This window comes from Homo sapiens, chromosome 6 (assembly GCF_000001405.40).
Source record: "Homo sapiens chromosome 6, GRCh38.p14 Primary Assembly".
NCBI classification, from domain to species: domain Eukaryota; kingdom Metazoa; phylum Chordata; class Mammalia; order Primates; family Hominidae; genus Homo; species Homo sapiens.
In genome coordinates this window covers 158,158,080-158,176,803 of record NC_000006.12, presented here as the reverse complement: position 1 = coordinate 158,176,803, position 18,724 = coordinate 158,158,080, and the positions used below count along the sequence as shown (strand labels likewise).

At 40.6% G+C, this 18,724-nt stretch overlaps 2 protein-coding genes across 7 annotated transcripts in view, besides 2 other annotated features; one reads left to right on the top strand and one right to left on the bottom strand.

The window, feature by feature from the left end:
* The window catches only part of GTF2H5 (general transcription factor IIH subunit 5), a 30,995-nt gene extending 22,541 nt beyond the window's left edge, over positions 1-8,454 (bottom strand). Inside the window, exons 1-2 of the mRNA NM_207118.3 lie at positions 8,409-8,454; positions 6,266-6,334 (exon numbers count right to left, since the gene is read on the bottom strand). Of these exons, the coding sequence (NP_997001.1) occupies positions 6,266-6,300 (35 nt within the window). The 5' untranslated portion in view covers positions 6,301-6,334; positions 8,409-8,454. The remainder of the gene's footprint in view (positions 1-6,265; positions 6,335-8,408) is intronic.
* Positions 8,455-8,634: a silencer, noted in NCBI's record as "silent region_17734". NCBI's record gives its function as "represses an Ori minimal core promoter by ATAC-STARR-seq in GM12878 lymphoblastoid cells {active_cell/tissue: GM12878}" and the evidence as "EXISTENCE:reporter gene assay evidence [ECO:0000049][PMID:35858748]".
* SERAC1 (serine active site containing 1) overlaps positions 8,542-18,724 on the top strand; it is a 58,744-nt gene continuing 48,561 nt past the window's right edge. For 3 of the 6 annotated variants that reach the window (NR_073096.2, XM_006715586.4, NM_032861.4), the window contains exons 1-2: positions 8,542-8,664; positions 18,440-18,531. Coding sequence is in view for 3 of the 6 variants with exons in the window: in NM_032861.4 (NP_116250.3) it covers positions 18,441-18,531 (91 nt within the window). In the remaining 3 variants the exon portion in view is untranslated. Of the gene's footprint in view, positions 8,665-14,651; positions 14,657-15,672; positions 15,873-18,439; positions 18,532-18,724 lie in introns of those variants that run through there. The other 3 variants (XM_047419421.1, XR_007059349.1, XM_024446573.2) reach the window with 3 other exon arrangements.
* Positions 8,675-8,744: a silencer, noted in NCBI's record as "silent region_17733". NCBI's record gives its function as "represses an Ori minimal core promoter by ATAC-STARR-seq in GM12878 lymphoblastoid cells {active_cell/tissue: GM12878}" and the evidence as "EXISTENCE:reporter gene assay evidence [ECO:0000049][PMID:35858748]".

Below are 18,724 nucleotides of genomic sequence, written 5' to 3'. Positions count from 1 at the left end.
TATAGAAACAATGCTCATCCCTGGCTTGCTGTTAACAAATAAGTGGGTAAATCTCTGTTCGGGGCTCTCGGCTCTGAAGGCTGTGAGACCCCTGATTTCTCACCCCACACCTCTATATTTCTGTGTGTCTGTCTTTAATTCCTCTAGCGCTGCTGGGTTAGGGTCTCCCAGACCGAGCTGGTCTCGGCAATTTACTATTTCAATTACAAAACCATTAACCTATGAATATATATGGTATAATTCTAAGACATACGTATATCCTTTTAAAAAGCAAACATAGGCTGGGCGCAATGGCTCACATCTGTAATCCCAGCATTTTGGGAGGCCGAGGTGGGTGGATCACGAGGTCAGGAGTTCAAGACCAGCCTGGCCAAGATAGTGAAACCCCATCTCTACTAAAACTTCAAAAATTAGCCAGGCATGGTGGCAGGCACCTGTAATCCCAACTACTTGGGAGGCTGAAGCAGGAGAATCGTTTGAACCCAGGTGGCAGAGGCTGCAGTGAGCCAAGATTGTGCCACTGCACTCCAGGCTGGGTGACAGTGAGACTCCGTTTCAAAAAAAAAACAAAAGCAAACACAATATTATACTTAGTTTTATAATGGAGAGATAGTATATGTAACGTTTAGTAGCCTGGGCTCTGGAGCCAGAATACCGGGATTTAAAATCCCAGTTTAACAATAGCTATGTAACTGAGCAATTGATTAATTGATACAAAGTATCTCACTTTGTACATCCATAAATGGAGATGACAGCACTTACCTCAAAGGGCTGTTGTGAAAACTAAATTAATATTAGCAAGTGCTTAGTATAGCACATGTCACATGGAAAACAGCGTTAGTACAGGAATCCAGGTGTTTTCACTTAACATCATTGTACAGTGTCATTTCCCTGAATCACTTAAAATGTCTGCAAATATTTTAACAGCTATATTATTTGATTAAAATATGCCACAATCAACAAATTTCTTTTTCTAGCACATTAAATACATACATTTTTATTGGCAGTTCTGATCATTTCCTAAAATTTTTTTTTTTTTTGAAATGGGGTCTCACTGTGTTGCTCAGGCTGGAGTGCAGTGGCATGATCTTGGCTCACTGCAACCTCTGCCTCTTGGGTTCAAGTGATTCTCCTGCCTCAGCCTCCCCAGTAGCTGGGATTACAGGCGTCCACCACCATGCCCAGCTAATTTTTGTATTTTTAGTAGAGACAGGGTTTTACCATGTTGGCCAGGCTGGTCTCAAACTCCTGACCTCAAGCCATCCACCCGCCTCAGCCTCCTGAAGTGTTGGGATTACAGGCGTGAGCCACTGCACCCAGCGATTTCCTAAAGATAAACTTATAGAAACGGAGTTATTGTGTTAAAGGATATAAAAGCACAAAACACCCATCACAAGTTGCTTACAGTTGTTTCTTGGGATTACACTTCCATCAGCAGCTTGGTGGGGTGCTTGCTTTTTAAAAGCTATGACTGGAAGACAACAGCCTCCTCATTTAAAAGCTATTTTGATATACAACATGCTAAAAGGAGGCCTAGTATACACATCTGTTTCAAACTAAAACTTTAATTTATCAAGAATCCCATCTTATTCACTGTGAATCTCACTGTAGGAATAGAGAGGCTCTAAAGGAACATTAATAAATTTGGGATTTTGGCTGAGATCACAAACCTGGACTCAATTCTGTTAACAAAATTTATTCAGTACACAAATATTTACTAAGCCATATCTATATATGTGTATGTGTGTGTGTGTGTATACACACACACACACACACACACACACACACACACATCTCAGGCACAGTTTTGGGTGCCTGGAAAACTTCAGCGAACATGGCCCTACTAAGAGGCAAAGGCTGAGAAAAGATTTATACATGCTGAGAAAAAAACAGAACAATGGTTAGACTGGTTTTGCCATACTTCTTACTTCGCTTCTCATAAACGATATAGCTTTAGAAGCCAAACTCATAAGGATAAGTGTAGTTTAATAATACATATTTCTCCAGATTCTTTGCTATTGTGATGTAAACTGGTTGGAATTTGCACCTTGGCAACAAATCTTTGCTGAAGCACTTGCCAAACCAATTGTGGCAACTGTTATACCAGAGGTCTGCTCCAGCATCTGGAACTGGACACAGACATACTGTGGTCATGTGTTGCTTGCTTTGGTAATTGCTTGGTGGCTAGATTTGGGAGAATACTTAGTGTGAGCCTGGCAATTGATGGTGGATCCCAACAAAGAGGAAATTTTCACCAACCTTTCAGTTTTGACATAAAAGTGCAAATTTATAAACATAAAACTTCTTTTATAGCCTTCAATTTTAGTATTTGATAAGCCCTTGGGAGTTAAGATTATATCCAAGTGCCCTGATTTTTCAATTCTCTGAAGGTGAGAATAAATGGCCATCATCATAATTTGGTTTACTTCTTTAGCAAATCTCTGCAGACTCAAAATCAGTTAAACTTAACTGATAGAAATGGAGTTTAAATATGGCAGTTAAGTGAAGCCAATCTAAGATATATGTGGATCAGCACTATATAAGCTATTACACATCAGTTTCTATTAATACAATGATGGGACTGGAATTTGGAGAGATTCCTGGGACAGTGGAAGCAGCTGTGAGATAGGAATTCAGCAGGACTAGTTTCCAAGACAAGAGAGACAGTAAACAACAGGTCAGAAGACCCCACCGATAAGCGAGGATACAGTAAAGAAACCAGCCAGAACCAAGATGGCAACAAAAGCAACCTTCACCACTATCATACACAAATCATAATGCATGCGCACGCTAAAAACCACCCCCACCAGCACCACGACAGTTTACAAATGCCATGGCAATATCTAGAAGTTACCCCGTATGGTCTGGACTGGGGACTCCTGGTTCCACAGAATCCCTGCCTCTTTTCCAGAAAACTCACGAATAATCCACCCCTTGTTTAACATATACTCAAGAAATGGCCATAAAATAGCCAGTTAGCAGGCCCGCCTGCTTCCCACCCTCCCCACTCCACTCTGCCTATGGGGTAGCCACCCTTTTATTCCCTCATTTTTAATAAACTTGCTTTCACTTTACTCTGTGGCTCATTCTTGAATTCTTTCCTGCATGAAGCCAAAAACCAACTTGGCTTCCAGGGCTGAGCCTCAATTTTGGTATTCACCTGCAACAGCTGTAGAAGATCCTTGAGTGGTCTGCCTGTAAACTCCAGACCTATCAAATTCCATACTCCAATACACCTAAATGCTTCATACAATCCATGGATATTATGAAGTAATAAACAGACTTATACTGATAATCATATTATTAACAGGCTTCTCCTTGGCATCAAATATGGACATGAGGGAAACTGAAGGACTTTTCCAGTTACCATCCTAACATCTGCATCTAACTGTGAAAGGGAATCCACTAGCACTGGCCATACCCTTTCCTTTGGGAATCTATGTTATTTCTTAGGCCCAAAATCTTTTTGGAAGACTTGTGTTTTTGGGAAGACAGAGTTACCCTTTTGAAAAATTGTGCAGACTACACTTTAGAATTCACTTCAAAGGGAAAAATTAGTTTTGCAAGGATGGTACCTAACCTGCAAAATAAAATTTAATAGTCCTGGTGCAAAACACTTCTCCACAGGGAAACATTATTAAACTGAAGCTGATTAACAGTATTATTGCTTCTCAAAATTTAAATGCATCTTAACAAGATTCTTTGTATGCACAATTCTGATTTAGTAGATTTAGGGTGAGGTCTGAGATTTTGCATTTCTAACAAGCTCCAGATGATGCTATTACTGCTAGTCTGGGGATTACCCTGAAGTGCAAGGTGATGGACAGTCATTAGAGAGACCAGGTAGAATTCAGAGGTTAGATACGGGACAGCAAACCGGGCACTGAGACTTCAGAGTCTCCCCAGAGTTTTGTTCTTTAAGATGCAATCCAGTCATCTTTTTTTTCAAATTAAAACGTAGGTTTAATGCAATTCCAACCAATATGCCAAAAGGATTATTTTGGAAACAGACTAAGTTATTTCAAGGTTATTCTAGAATAGGCAACAAGAAAGATGAATGTGGGAAGGGATGAAAGAGAATAGCAAGGGGAGTAAAATTATGTGATTAAGGAGGCATCAAGCATCATTAAGAAAGGAAATAATGGTGGAGAACTAGATATTTGGCAAAATGAACAGACAAAAACACCCAAAACAAAAAAGAAGCTAGGCTGGGTGCAGTGGCTCATGCCTGTAATCCCAGCACTTTGGGAGGCCGGGGCAGGTGGATCATGAGGTCAAGAGATCGAGACCAGCCTGGCCAACATGGTGAAACCCCATTTCTACTAAAAATACAAAAATAAAATTAGCCGGGTGTGGTGGTGTGTGCCTGTAATCCCAGCTACTCGGGCAGCTGAGGCAGCAGTATCGCTTGAATCCAGGAGCCAAGATCGCGCCACTGCACTCCAACCTGGCAACAGAGCAAGACTCCGTGTCAAAAAAAAAAAAAAGAAGCTAATTTAGATCCTTATCTAATAATATGTCTCTTCTCTGAATAAATTCTAGATGAATGAATCTAACACACCAAGAAAAACACAAAATCCCCACAAGAGAGAAGTGAATATTTAACAAACCTATGCCACTCCTCCCAATAAATTCTAGATGAATGAATCTAAAACACCAAGAAAAACACAAAACCCTCAGAAGAGAGAAGTGAATATTTAACAAACCCAGGGGTGAAGATTAAACTTAGAATTGGAAGAAACGAGGGAAAAAAAGTGATAGCTGACACTCTGTGTATGTGTATCCTCTGTATTTAAAAATAACACTAAAGGCCAACGAGGAAAATGTTTATGTTATGTCAAATTAATAGGAAAATAAGTACATCAAACCTAGTGCCTTCAAAAGACAACAGAACAGTGTGTTTAGAACTTCTGGGGTCCAGATCCCACCCCCTTTGCTTTTCCAAGTGAATACCTCTCCCCCGCAGTGGTTTACTCTCATCAACGTACATTCTAGTCTTTCACATTAAAATAAAAATAGCAAGAACCTGAGCCCCTCACCATGTCCTTCGTCAGCTACCAATCCAGTTCTCTATGAGATTGCTCATGATCACAGTAAAACTTCTCCGAAGTCTCCATCTCCACCTCCTCACCTCCCTTTCCTTTTCCACAGTACTTCAATCTGGCATCTCCCCACCACTCCATTCAAATGGCTCTCATCAAAACTCCAGTCTTCATCTCATGCCAGTTCTCAATCAGTGCCCAACACAGCCGCTCATCCCTACAAAACACTTCCTCCTTTGGCTTTCCTCCCTCCAGCCTCACTGGCTATTTTCTTCTTAGTTGCCTTTGTTGGTGTCTCCTGTATCAAAACTCCAAATCTGCACTATGCATAAGGTAGCCCACTAGTCAGGTCACTACAGAGTCCTTGAAACACGGTTAGTCTGTGAGATGTGCTGTAAAATTAAAATATCCATTCGACTTTGAAGATGAAGATTTTTTTGAAGACTTAGTATGTGTTCAAAGCATAGTGTTTTGCATAGACAGGGTTAAACAAAAGATATTAACTTCACCTGTTTCATTTTACGTTACTTTTAAGATGGCTAGAAAAAATGTAAGACTATATCTGTGGCTTGCATTAGATTTCTATTGGCTAGTGCTGTTCTAAATGTTGGCAGTGTCCTAGGGTTTGGTCTTGCTCCTCCTTAGCCTTGCCATCACAGTAAACAGTATCATTATCCATGCACTGGCTCATATTAGAGGCACCGAAAGTAGACAGTAGTATTTTCAGACAATGGGAGTGTCCACAGAGCAGGGTTCCCGGGGTTCCTGGACACTGGATTGCTTTGAGGAACTCAACTCTGCCCATTTATGGTTTTTAGTTTCTCCTCTGGAATGTACCTAAAGGAATTTAAGAAACCTCCATTTGGCTCTGTTGTTTTTCTCTTTTTTAAAGTCCACAGTTTGTAATGGTAAAGACTTAAGCAAGTTCCTGAACTCTTTCAGGCCCTAAAATTCATCATGTTTGAGGAGAATGCAAGCACTGTTTCTCTAAAGACGACTCATCTAACAAATATGCTGCCTCTGATCATGCCAGTTCCATCAATTCAACAGAGGGACTGAAATCTGGCACCAGGAGCTTTGCAACAAAATCTGTGCCACTTGTTAAAAGCGAAAGACTTGATTTCATCCATATCTTAAAAACAACAGGGTTTTAGAAAAGACATACATACAAGTCAAGATTCAATATTTAAACTTAAAACTCATGCAGTATCAAAACTACTAACCATTCTATAAGCACTCCTTTCAAGACGTTGACCATGTTTTCTCAGAAGGTTCAGATGACCTGAAGAATGCTAATAAAAAGAGTAAGGTAACATTAAATTAAAAATCATTAACTTTCATATACTTTGGGGATCTGCCTCTGAAACGAGGCAAAATAATTAAATGTCAATATTTAACAGTTAAGTCTATGAAAGACAGTTAACATTAAGAAAAAAGACATTCTGATTTTTTAACAAAATTAAAATGAGTCTACTTGGAATATTAATGCCACATCTTACTCGCCAGCCAATTCTACCCAAGGTCAATTAGCCCTAATAGAAGCAAGAGGCCTAACTCTACACCAGTGTGCCCAACCCAGGTATAAACCGTCCATTATTCAAAGGATTTCTTTTCCCATTCAGGAGAATGACAAAGGGTAAGATCCTGGGAGACAGGAATCAAAGAAGATAGTTCTGAAAGGTGCTTCAAAAATTATACAGTGAGCCCAACCACCTCCTTTTAGTTTATATTTTATTTTACTGAGACAGGGTCTGGCTCTGCCGCCCAGGCTGTAGTGCAGTGGCGCGATCTCTGCTCCCTGCAACCTCTTGCCTCCTGGGTTCAAGCGATCCTCCCACCTCAGCCTCCCGAGTAGCTGGGACTACAGGCATGCACTACTAAGCCCAGCTAATGTACTGTGTTGTATCGTGTGTGTGTGTGTGTATATATATACACACTTTTATATATAATATATAATATACAATATATAATATATAATATACAATATATTATATATAATATACAATATATTATATAATATATAATATACAATATATTATATAATATATAATATACAATATATTATATAATATATATTATATATTATATAATATACAATATATTATATGTAATATACAATATATGTAATATACAATATATTATATGTAATATACAATATATGTAATATACAATATATTATATATAATATACAATATATTATATATAATATACAGTATATTATATATAATATACTGTATATTATATATAATATACAATATATTATATAATATACAATATATTATATATAATATACAATATAATATATATAATATATAATATATATAATATACAATATATTATATATAATATATAATATACAATATAATATTATATATAATATATAATATACATATTATATATATGTATTATATATAATATACGTATTATATATAATATACATAATATACATATTATATATTATATATAAAATAAATATATATTATATATAAAATACATATATAATATATATATATGTATATATACACTTCGAGACAGAGTCTCACTCTGTCGCCCAGGCTGGAGCGCAGTGTCGTGATGTCGGCTCACTGCAACCTCTGCCTCCCGGGCTCAAGCGATTCTCCTGCCTCAGCCTCCCAAGCAGCGGGGACTACAGGCGCCCGCCACCACGCCAGGCCAAATTTTGTATTTTTAGTAGAGGCAGGGTTTCACCATGTTGGCCAGGCTGGTCTCGAACTCCTGATCTCAAATGATCCACCTACCTCGGCCTCCCAAAGTGCTGGGACAACAGGTGTGAGCCACCGCGCCAGGCCAATTTATTGTATTTTTAGTGGAGACGGGGTTTCACCATGTTGGCCAGGCTGGTCTCGAACTCCTGGCCTCAAGTGATTTGCCCGCCTCGGCCTCCCAATGTGCTGGGATTGCAGGCGTGAGCCACCGCGCCCGGCCTCAGCCACCTCATTTTACATATGAGGAGACCAAAGGAAGAGATTAAGCCGTAGTTCCTGGCCAAAGGAAAAAAGTACAAGCCAGATCTCCAGATCTTGTGCCCCTTCACTAAATAAATCACGTCCCGTGCGGACCTAGGCTGGAAACAAACCACTCAGCGTACGCCCATTTAATTAACTTCCACTTACACCTGGGCGCAGGGCGAGCCCTAGCCCCACAGGAAACCCACGATTAAACGAGGGGGGGACTGCCGTGCGGCCCCGCCAGGAAGGGCCCGGAGAGAGTGGGGGACACCGCCCTGTGCCCCCAGCACCCGGTGGACAGGCTTCTGGGGCTTTTCTCTTCCTCTCCCCTTTCTTTGGGACCCCTCAGTGTTCCCACACCCCACTTTCCCCAGCCGCTCGGACGCTCGCCACACACCTCGGCCCACAGATGCAGAAGCGCCTCGGCGTTGCCGGCAGAGTGCGCCTGCGCCGATACGCCATCGCGCTAGGGACGCTATTGTGGGTGGAGCCAGCCGGCGGGAGGCGGGCCCAGAGCGGGCCGAGGGGGCGGGGTCACGAGCCGCCAGCCGCCGGGTGGAGGGTCCCGGCCGGGAGCCGCGGAAAGAGTAGGGCTCCCCAGACAACGGGGTCCGACGAGCAGTTGGGCACGGGCTGAGTCCGCCTGCCGGCAGGTAGGACGTGAAGGCAGGGGTGGTGTGGGGGCGGACGGGGGCGTCGGCGCAGCTGGGCGCGGTGGGGAGCGGAGAATGGGGAGGGCAGGGACCGGGCACGGCCGAGCACCGCCGTCTGGCGCGCGGACCGGACCGACCAGCTGACGCTCGGCTGGGCGTGAGGGCCTCTCTCTCTGGTGGTCGCGAGCCTGACTCGTCTTTCCCTGTCGCTGCCTTTCTCTGGCTGCTGTCGAGGCCTTGGGGAGTGCACCTGCCGGTCCGTCTTCCCGGGCTCGGTAGTCACGGAGAGATGAGGAGGAGGAGGAAAGGGCCTCACCAGTCACTTCTGAGCCTTGCAGACCACCGCTTCCTGCTCCCTCTCTAACCCCAGAGATGGAATAGATTGAATGCTGAGAGAGCTCTAAACTCGGCAACGGTCATTTTAAAGTGAAAGACCCCAGAAGGTTCTAAAGTTACTCCCTTTCCCCAAGTCTGTTCTGTAAGTCTAAAGGAACACTGTCATTATTTTTACTAGTTGAGATATGAGATTCTTGTTTTCTGTTCCTTAGGTTAAATTGTACTTCCCGCATTAAGCTCATGCTGCCTTTTTTTTTTTTTTTTTTGAGATGGAGTCTCGGTCTGTCTGCCAGGCTGGAGTGCAGTGGCGCGATCTGGGCTCACTGCAACCTCCGTCTCCTGGGTTCAAGCAATTATCCTGCCTCATTCTCCCTAGTAACTGGGATTACAGGCGTGCGCTACCACGCCCGGCTGATTTTCGTATTTTTAGTAGACACGGGGTTTGTCCATGTTGGCCAGGCTGGTCTGGAATTCCTGACATCAGGTGATCCCCCGCCTCGGCCTCCCAGAGTGCTGCGATTACAGGTGTGAGCCACCGCGCCCGACCTCATGCTGCCTTTTTTTTTTTTTTTTTTTTTTTAACATCGTGTGTGTTCATGTGATCGCTAAGGAACCCAGCTCTTCCATTTAGTTCCCTCTTTCTATCCCTCAAATCTTTTCCAACTGGTGATTTCCATATTGTTGCACTCTCTTTAAAATAAAAAAATTGCCTCCAAGTCTTCTTCTTCCCAAGTATCTTTTATTTGCTTTTTTTCATCTTGCATACATTCTCTTCCTTGATCTCATCAGTTCCATTTTTGTGCACTTGATGTGTGTCAGCTATTATTCTAGACGCTTGGGATACAATGGTGAACAGGTAACTAATTTTGGTGGGGGCAGAGAGACTCTGAAATCAGTTAAGGAATAAGTACCATTTGGTGATGTGATAAAGAGTGACTAGAGGGGTTATTTTGGCCAGGGGGATGTCAGAAATGGCCTTAATTTCTGCATTTAAAAACTTCTGTATACCAGTAACAATTAACTAGGAGTTTTAATAATAAAAAGACACTATTCATAATGGCATTCAAAACTAAAGGTACCTAGAAATAGATGAACCTAAAGCTGTGTAGTCCTTTAGACAGAAAATTGTAAGGCTCTGTTGGAACACAAAAGATGACCCAAGTAAATGGTGAGATATACCGTATTAATAGATGGAAAGACTCAACAAAAAGATGTCAGTTTTCCTCAGTTCTACGAATTCAGTGTAATGCCAATTAAAATCACCATATTGTTTTATGGAATTTGCCATGCTGAACTTAAAATTTATATGGAAAGGCAAGGGACCAAGAATAGTGAAGTCAATTTTGAAGAAGAAGAAAAATAAGGTCTCTCCCTATCAGATACCAAAGCTTAATATAAAGTTGTAATTATTAAGATGGTATGATATTGATTCAGGGATAGAGAATTAGATTCATGGAACAGAATAGAGACACTAGAAACATACCTATTTACATACGGGAGTTTAGTATACCACTAAGTGGTATTGCAAAGCAGGGGGAAAGCATAGACTATTCAATAAAGGATGATGAAATATATGGTTGCTGAGATATCTGGCATTGTTATGGTATACAGACAGGATTAGATTCTTACTTTCAAACTATTGACAACAGTTTCCAGATAAAGACCTAAATGTGAATGGCACAGCTGCAAGGTATTTGGAAAGGAATATAAGAGACCATTGTCTCTAGGAAAGATTTCTTTTTTGTTTGCTTTGTTAAATCTTGTTACACATAAGATTTATCATGTTAACCATGTTGAGTTGTTGAGTTCAGTGACATTCACATTGTGCAACCAGCACTACTATCTATCTCCAGAACTTTTTTTTTAAATGTCTCTGAGAAGGATTTCTTAAGTTACAAAAAGCACCTTTGAGGTGTCATTTTATTACTCCAAATGAGAGATGATGTTGGCTTGAACTAGACAAGAGTGTAGCAGTGAATACAGAGAAAAATGGATGGATTTGGGGGTATGTTTTGATGGTAGAGAAGAGCAACTCTGCGTGGTTTAGATGTAGAGTAAGGGGAAAACAAGGAATCAAGGGCAACATCTGTTTTTTTGCTTCAGTTAAGAGGTAGATCATTTACCATTTACAATCAAAAAGCATTGACCATTTGATGGATAGTGATGGAGAAGATTTGTGGAGGAAGAGTTTGGGGAGAAAAAGTAAAGAATTCTCTTTTGGACAGTTGAGTATGAAAGGCCTGTTGGACATCCAAGTGGAAATGTTCCAATAGCTGTTGGATAGATAGGTCAGGAAAGATCGTAGCTAGAGGTACTCTGAGATCACTGGCATATAGATATTAAGAACTGGGCCGGGCACGGTGGCTCACGCTTGTAATCCCAGCACTTTGGTAGGCCGAGGCGGGTGGATCACGAGGTCAGGAGATTGAGACCATCCTGGATAACACGGTGAAACCCCGTCTGTACTAAAAATACAAAAAAATAGCTGGGCGTGGTGGCAGCCGCCTGTAGTCCCAGCTACTTGGGAGGCTGAGGCAGGAGAATGGTGTGAACCTGGGAGACGGAGTTTGCAGTGAGCCGAGATCGCGCCACTGCACTCCAGCCTGGGTGACAGAGTGAGAGACTCTGTCTCAAAAAAAAAACCAAAAAACAAAAAACTGTGGTGTGTTGGAATCAGCTGTGTTACACAGAAAACAAGATAATACTGGCTTAAATATGTATGTAATTGCATAGGTAGGCAGCCATGCTTTTATGGAAGCAGCTCTGTAATCATCAGGGACTCGGATTCTTCTATCTGGCTGCTCTACCGTCCTTAATAAGATGCTTGGTGTTAAGATGACTGCTTTAATTCAAACTGTCAGTTGCTCATTCTAGCAAGAGGGAGGAGGGAAGGAGGAAGAAAGGCACATACCCTTCTTTTTAAGGACACTTTTCAGAAATTGCACATGACACATCCACTCATATTTCATTAGCCAATTCTTTGTAAGTGCCCATAGTTAACTAGAAAGAAAGAAAGGTGATGTAGTCTTTTTTGTTGTCTGTGTACCTAGCTACAACTCACGTTTTATTAATCAGAATGAAAGCATGAAATGATGTTTCACTCTGGCTTCCTCCACCAGGGCAATGAAGCTACTGATATGAAGATCCCAGTGACCTCCATATTGTTAAACTTAATGGAATTTTCAAATATTTGTTTTATTTTTAAATTATAATCTCTTCCCTTTTATTTTCTGTGTCTTTCTTAGTCTCAAAATTTCTCCGTTCTCTACTTAAAATCAGTGTTTCAGATTTTATGTAATCACCGTCATAATATATATATATATTTTTTTGAGATGGAGTCTCGCTCTGTCGCCCAGGCTGGACTGCCGTGGCGCAATCTTTGCTCACTGCAAGCTGCACCTCCTAGTTTCACGCCATTCTCCTGCCTCAGCCTCCTGAGTAGCTGGGACTACAGGTGCCCGCCACCACACCCAGCTAATTTTTTGAATTTTTAGTAGAGATGGGGTTTCACCGGGTTATCCAGGCTGGTCTCGATCTCCTGACCTCGTGATCCTCCTGCCTCGGCCTCCCAAAGTGCTGGGATTACAGGCGTGAGCCACCGTGCCTGGCCCCATAATCTTAAAGGTGCTTTTAAATAGAAATTGACAAGCAGACTCTAAAATTATGTGGAAGTACCAAGGACCTAGAATAGTCCGTCTTGAAAAGGAAGGACACAGCTGGAAAATTTATACTACTAGCTTCAAGACTTACTTTAAAAACTACAGTAATCTGCCTGGTGCGGTGGCTCACACCTGTAATCCCAGCACTTTGGGAAGCCGAGGCGGGTGGATCACGAGGTCAAGAGTTCAAGACCAGCCTGGCCAAGATGGTGAAACCCTGTCTCTACCCAAAATACAAAAATTAGCCAGGTATGGTGGTGGGCATCTGTAATCCCAGCTACTTGGGAGGCTGAGGCAGGAGAATTGCTTGAACCTGGGAGGCGGAGGTTGCAGTGAGCTGAGATCAGGCCACTGCACTCCATCCTGCCTGGGCGACAGAGTGAGACTCTGTCAAAAAGAAAACAAAAAACAACAAAAAACCTACATAATCTAAACAGTGCAGTGTTTATATAAGGATAGATAAATAGATCGATGGAGTGGAATAGGTCCATACATATGTATTCCATTAGGGTTTTTTGTTTGTTTGTTTTGAGATGTGGGTCTCACTGTATTGCCTAGGCTGGTGTTGGGCTCCTGAGCTCCAGCAGTCCTCCTGCCTCAGGCTTCTGAGTAGCTGGTATTACAGGCATGTGCCGCAGATATAGTCAGTTGATTTGTGGTCTCAAGCAATCATCCCACCTTGGCCTCCCAAATCACTGGGATTATAGGCATGAGCCACCACACTTGGCCCTATGGTATACTTTTTATTGTTATTTTATAGTGTATTCATCTATTCCCTCTACTTATAAAAAAATAAAATTTACTGTAAAACAAGTTATGCTGGCAGCAACCTCATATATCTCGTGTAAAGGAAAGTTTAGAAGTTACATGTCAGCTTTTTGAGGCATTATAAACCATCCCAAAGGCTACGGGCTAAAACAAACATTTATTATTGCTTGCAGGCTAAGGACTGAATATGGATTTGTAGGGTCACCTAGGGGCTGGCTAGTTTGATGTGGCTTCACATGCCTGGCGGCTGTTGCTGGCTGTCAGTTGGTACTTGTTGGCTTCATTAATGGGGATATTGGACATTTCTCTTGTGATCCAGCAGACTAACCTAGGCATCTTTACATGGTGCTGGTCACAGGTTTCTCAAGAGCAAAAAGACAGGAGCCTCGATGTGCACGTACTTCCCAAGTCTCAGCTTGCATCATGCTTCTATTGTCCTATGGCCAAAGTTACTCGTAAGATCAATCTAAAGTCACCGTGGGAGGGGACTACCAAAGATCATGGTTATAGGAAAAGGAATAATTTGTGGCCATTAAAAAAAATCTGCATTTAAGACAAAAACTATGTGTAAAAAAAGCAGGCAAGTATGAAAGTGAGCCAACTGGAAGTTTTAGAAATAAAAGTTTTTGAAATACTCAGTGGATGGATCGAATGATAGTCTAAATACAACTAAACAGAAGGTGATGAATTGGAAGATAGATTTGGGGAAATTATAGTGCATGTCAGACAGATAGAAAAAAATGGAAGAAGTTGAGATTTGAAGGTTAGACTTTAAAAATCTAGCATACATCTAATAGGAGTATCAGAAGGTAAAAGTTGAATGGGGGTCAAAGTGGTAATTGTTAAGAATATTGCAGAATTGAAGAAAAATGTGAGTTCTAAGATCAAAGGAGCATACCAAATCTTGAGTGGGGTATATAAAAACAAACCCATACCCAGACATAAAGTAGAGAATTGTAAGAACATCAAAAAGATCTTAAAACTGCCAGATGGAATATAATATTGATAGTAATGATAAGTAGCATTTATTGAACACTTAATTTGGAATAGGCACTATTCTGTGTGTTTTACATATATTAACTCATGTGATATTTGTAACAACCCTTTACAGTAGTTCCCTTATTATCACCATTTTATAGATGAGGAAAGTGAGACACAGAGGTTAAATAGCCCATTATCATATGTCTAGTGTTTTCAAATGTACCTGGATTTTGTTTTAATCAGGAATGGTAAGAAGACAGACACAGAGACAACTGCCTTGAAAGAAGAGCTTATTATGTACAGTTCCCAAGGAAGAGTGGGCGTGCCACACCATGCAAGGCCACATGGGGAAGTACCAGGGTCATTCAGGAGGCATAAGGAGCAATGTGAAAGCATGGGCCAGAGCTTTCTTTTATTGTGTTTTTTTGTGGGAAGGAATGAACGTTTTTTTTGTGGGAAGGAATGAGCGAGACAGGGTAGACGAGCTGAACAAACTTAGGATTGGATAGTTCGAATAATTTGGCAGACCAGAGAGGTGGTCTCTAGCTGCCTAGTACCTGGCTCTGAGGAGATTTAGAGTAAGGGAAGCATTGGCTGTGTGTGGTGGTTGGGGGTATGCACCTGGGATTGGTTGGTTTGCATATGAGAAGCATGCTCACAGGCAGGTTGTTTGCTACCTCTAGCAGTTAGCTATCCCAGAGAGGGGCAGTCACTCCCTGGGTCCTTAAGGTCCTAAGATGTCAAAGCATTCTTAAAAAAAAAAAAAAAATTACTAATACAAGTTGTTTGTGGAATTGGATTTGAAACCAGGCAGTGTGGTCCTACAGAGCACATTCTTAAACTTCTTTGCTATTATTTTGCCTACAAAGAAACAACAGTTAGACTTAGATTTCTCCTGAGCAACAAGAAATATCAGTGAAAATACCATTAATGTACCAAAGGAAACCTACTGTTATTCTAAATTCTAAACCCAGAATTCCAAACCCAGCTATTACTATTTTTTTTTTTTTTTCTGAGACAGAGTCTTACTCTGTCTCCCAGGCTAAAGTGTAGTGCGTGATCATGGCTCACTGAAACCTCTGTCTCCCAGGCTCAAGCAATTCCTCTGCCTCAGCCTCCCGAGTAGCTGGGAATACAGGCACATGCCAACAGGCCCAGCTAATTTTTTAAATTTTTTTGGAGAGATGAAGTCTCACTGGTCTTGAACTCCTGGGCTGGCCTAGAGCTCCTGGGCTCAAGCAGTCTGCCCACCTTGGCCTCCAAGTGCTGGGATTGCAGGCATGAGTCACCACGCCTGGCCCAAACACAACTATTTTTTAGTATATCTAAAATAGAGCATTTTTAGACATGCTGAGAGTGAGAGTGCTAACTACATATATGCCTTCATGAAGGAACTATCAAAGGATATACCTTCATCAAGAATGATTTGAACCTAGGAGGAAGTTGTGGATGCAAGAAACAAAAGTAAGGAAGGAAACTGACAAAATGTTGGTAAATATTTAGGTTGACTGCTTTTAAAAATGACTTCTTTTGGGATGTTTAAAAATAAAATGGAATTAAAATACTAGACAAGATAGGAGAGGATCGTATTTAAAGCATTCTAATATTCTCATTTGGGAGGATAATTATATTGTTTAAATTCATACTATATAGCACATTTAAAATGTGGCTGTTTACTAAAGGAATAGAAATAAATTGTATAACTTTAAGCCAATTAAAGAGTAATAAAAAAATCCTGATCTATCCAACATGCGATAAATGTAAATGGATTAAATTCATCTATTCAAAGAGAGGTTTTGAAATTATAAATGATACCAAAAGATTATAACCATGATGGGAAAAGGTAAGATAGTTAAATACTTAGAAAACTGGCAAGGAACTTAAAGCAATAAATGTTAATAGGGATAAAGGAAGATAGTATGTGATGACAAAAGGAAAAAAGTACTAAGTTTCTAATAATCATTCATTTGTGTGCACCTGATGGCATATCTTTTCACATTATGACCCCCCAAAAAGGGTAGTATTTGTTTGCCACAGATTGGGGTGTTTTGCACTAGAGAGTCAGATCCATGAAAGCAAGGGCAGATTTTTCTTTTTCATTGTTAAATTGCTAGCATCTAGAACAGTTCTTCGTTCCTAGGGACTCAGATAAGTATTTGCTTAATGAATAAAAAAAAAAAGGACAACAAAAGGGGTAAATCGACAAGTGCGCAAATCAGTATGAAACTTTTAAAAAACCCCTCTCGTACTGGTAGATCATGCAGACAAAATTAGGAAGGCTGTTCAATGGCCGTTTGGAGCTGTGAAAAATAAATTAGCAGGACTATAGAAACAACAAAATTAACAAGCCTAGTATAATGGATATATTCTGCTCGCAACAAAGAATAAGCTTGTATGATATATTTATAAATATTGACTGGAATCAGGTAACAAAGCAAGTCTTCACAATTTTAAATAATCTATGTCACATAGCAGAATAAGATAATCTTTGCCTGTAATCCCAGCACTTCGGGAGGCCGAGGCGGGTGGATCACTTGAGGTCAGGAGTTCAAGACCAGCCTGGGTAATATGGTGAAACCCTGTCTCTACAAAAAATACAAAAAATTAGTTGAGTGTGGTGGTGGGCACCTGTAGTCCCAGCTGCTCGGTAGGCTGAGGTGGGAGGATTGCTTGAGCCTGAGAGGCAGAGGTTGCAGTGGGTGGTGATTGCACCATTGCACTCCAGCCTGGGTGACAGAGCCATACCCTGTTTCAAAAAAAAAAAAAAGATAATCTTAAAAAGTTTTATATATTTGGAAACTAAAAGCTACACTCTTAAACAGCTCACAGATTAGAGAAAAATTACAGTGGAATTTTAGAGGGATAATTTATAGTCTTTTTTTTTTTTTTTTGAAACCGGGTCTCACTCTTGCTGGAGACGACAGGCTGGAGTACAGTGGCGCAATCTCAGCTCACTGCAACCTCAGCGTCCCAGGTTCAAGCAATTCTCCCACCTCAGCCTCCCGAGTAGCTGGGACTACAGGAGTGCACCACCACACCTGGCTAATTCTTTTTGGTAGAGTCAGGGTTTCACTATGTTGGCCAGGCTGGTCTTGAACTCCTGAGCTCACGTGATCTGCCCACCTCAGCCTCCCAATGTGCTGGGATTATAATAATTTCTAGTGTTAAATGCATTTGTGAAAGAACAAGAAATGCTCATCTTAGGCATTATTGAAGAAGTTAGGAAAAGGACAGGATGCACCCAAAGAAAGAAAGAAGAAAATAATAAAAAGCAGAAATAGAAAACAAAACAAAAGAGAGAGGTACCTTCAAGGTACCTTCCTTCCTTTCCCTTATAGCAAAAGGAAAAAGAAAAAAAAACCTCACTATCCAAAGACAACCTGATATGGGTCTAGAATACTGAGTTGTGTTCTGGGAATGATTGCAGCATATGATCATCTTTACTCAGTTGATGAATTAGGTGGATGACAGCTCTCCTTTGATAGAATGCCAACAATGAACAAATTTCAAAAATTTTAAACAACGTGGGTACTATCCTGAAAGAACTAGAGAAAAGCTAAATGCTTCTATGGATTCTAAGTGTACCGTCCACATAGAGCTTCTCATTTCTGTGGGGACTTCAGTCATCAGAGATAAATACATATATACATATATTTTCAAAGACATTAAATTTTTTTCATGCCTATATTGGTATTCTGATTAATAGTCTGTCTATTCTTGTTACCGTTTAATTCTTGTGTTCTGGGAATGATTGTATCATATTTAGATCATCTTTCCAATTGTGAAAACTATGCACAATTGGACACAGTGTGAGGAAGAATAATGAAAATTCTAACAAAATATTATTCTAATAAGTCCCTTTTAAGTTTTTAATGGAGAATTTTTTTTTTAATTGGAAAGTTTTCTTCGTAGTCTTGAAAAAGCTAACTCTGTGGGTCATCCACTGTGATGGTAACATGTTCTTGTAGTTAAAACAAGTGTTTTGATTTAGATGCTAAATTAAATTTGTTGTAATTGTTCTACTTACACAGAATGTCCCTGGCTGCTTATTGCGTCATCTGTTGCAGAAGAATAGGAACCTCTACTTCCCCACCAAAAAGTGGCACACACTGGAGAGATATCAGTGAGTACAGCTTAAACAACTCTTATTTTCTTATAGGAACAGTGATAGAATTGTGGCCATTTCTAAGATGGGCCACAAAAACTTTTTGAACCCATGATTAAATCTCAAATTTGTTTATGTCTTTCTGTACTAATAGTTCACCCCAAATTTATAGGCCCAGAGCCATACATACTCCTTTTTCTTGAGAATTATT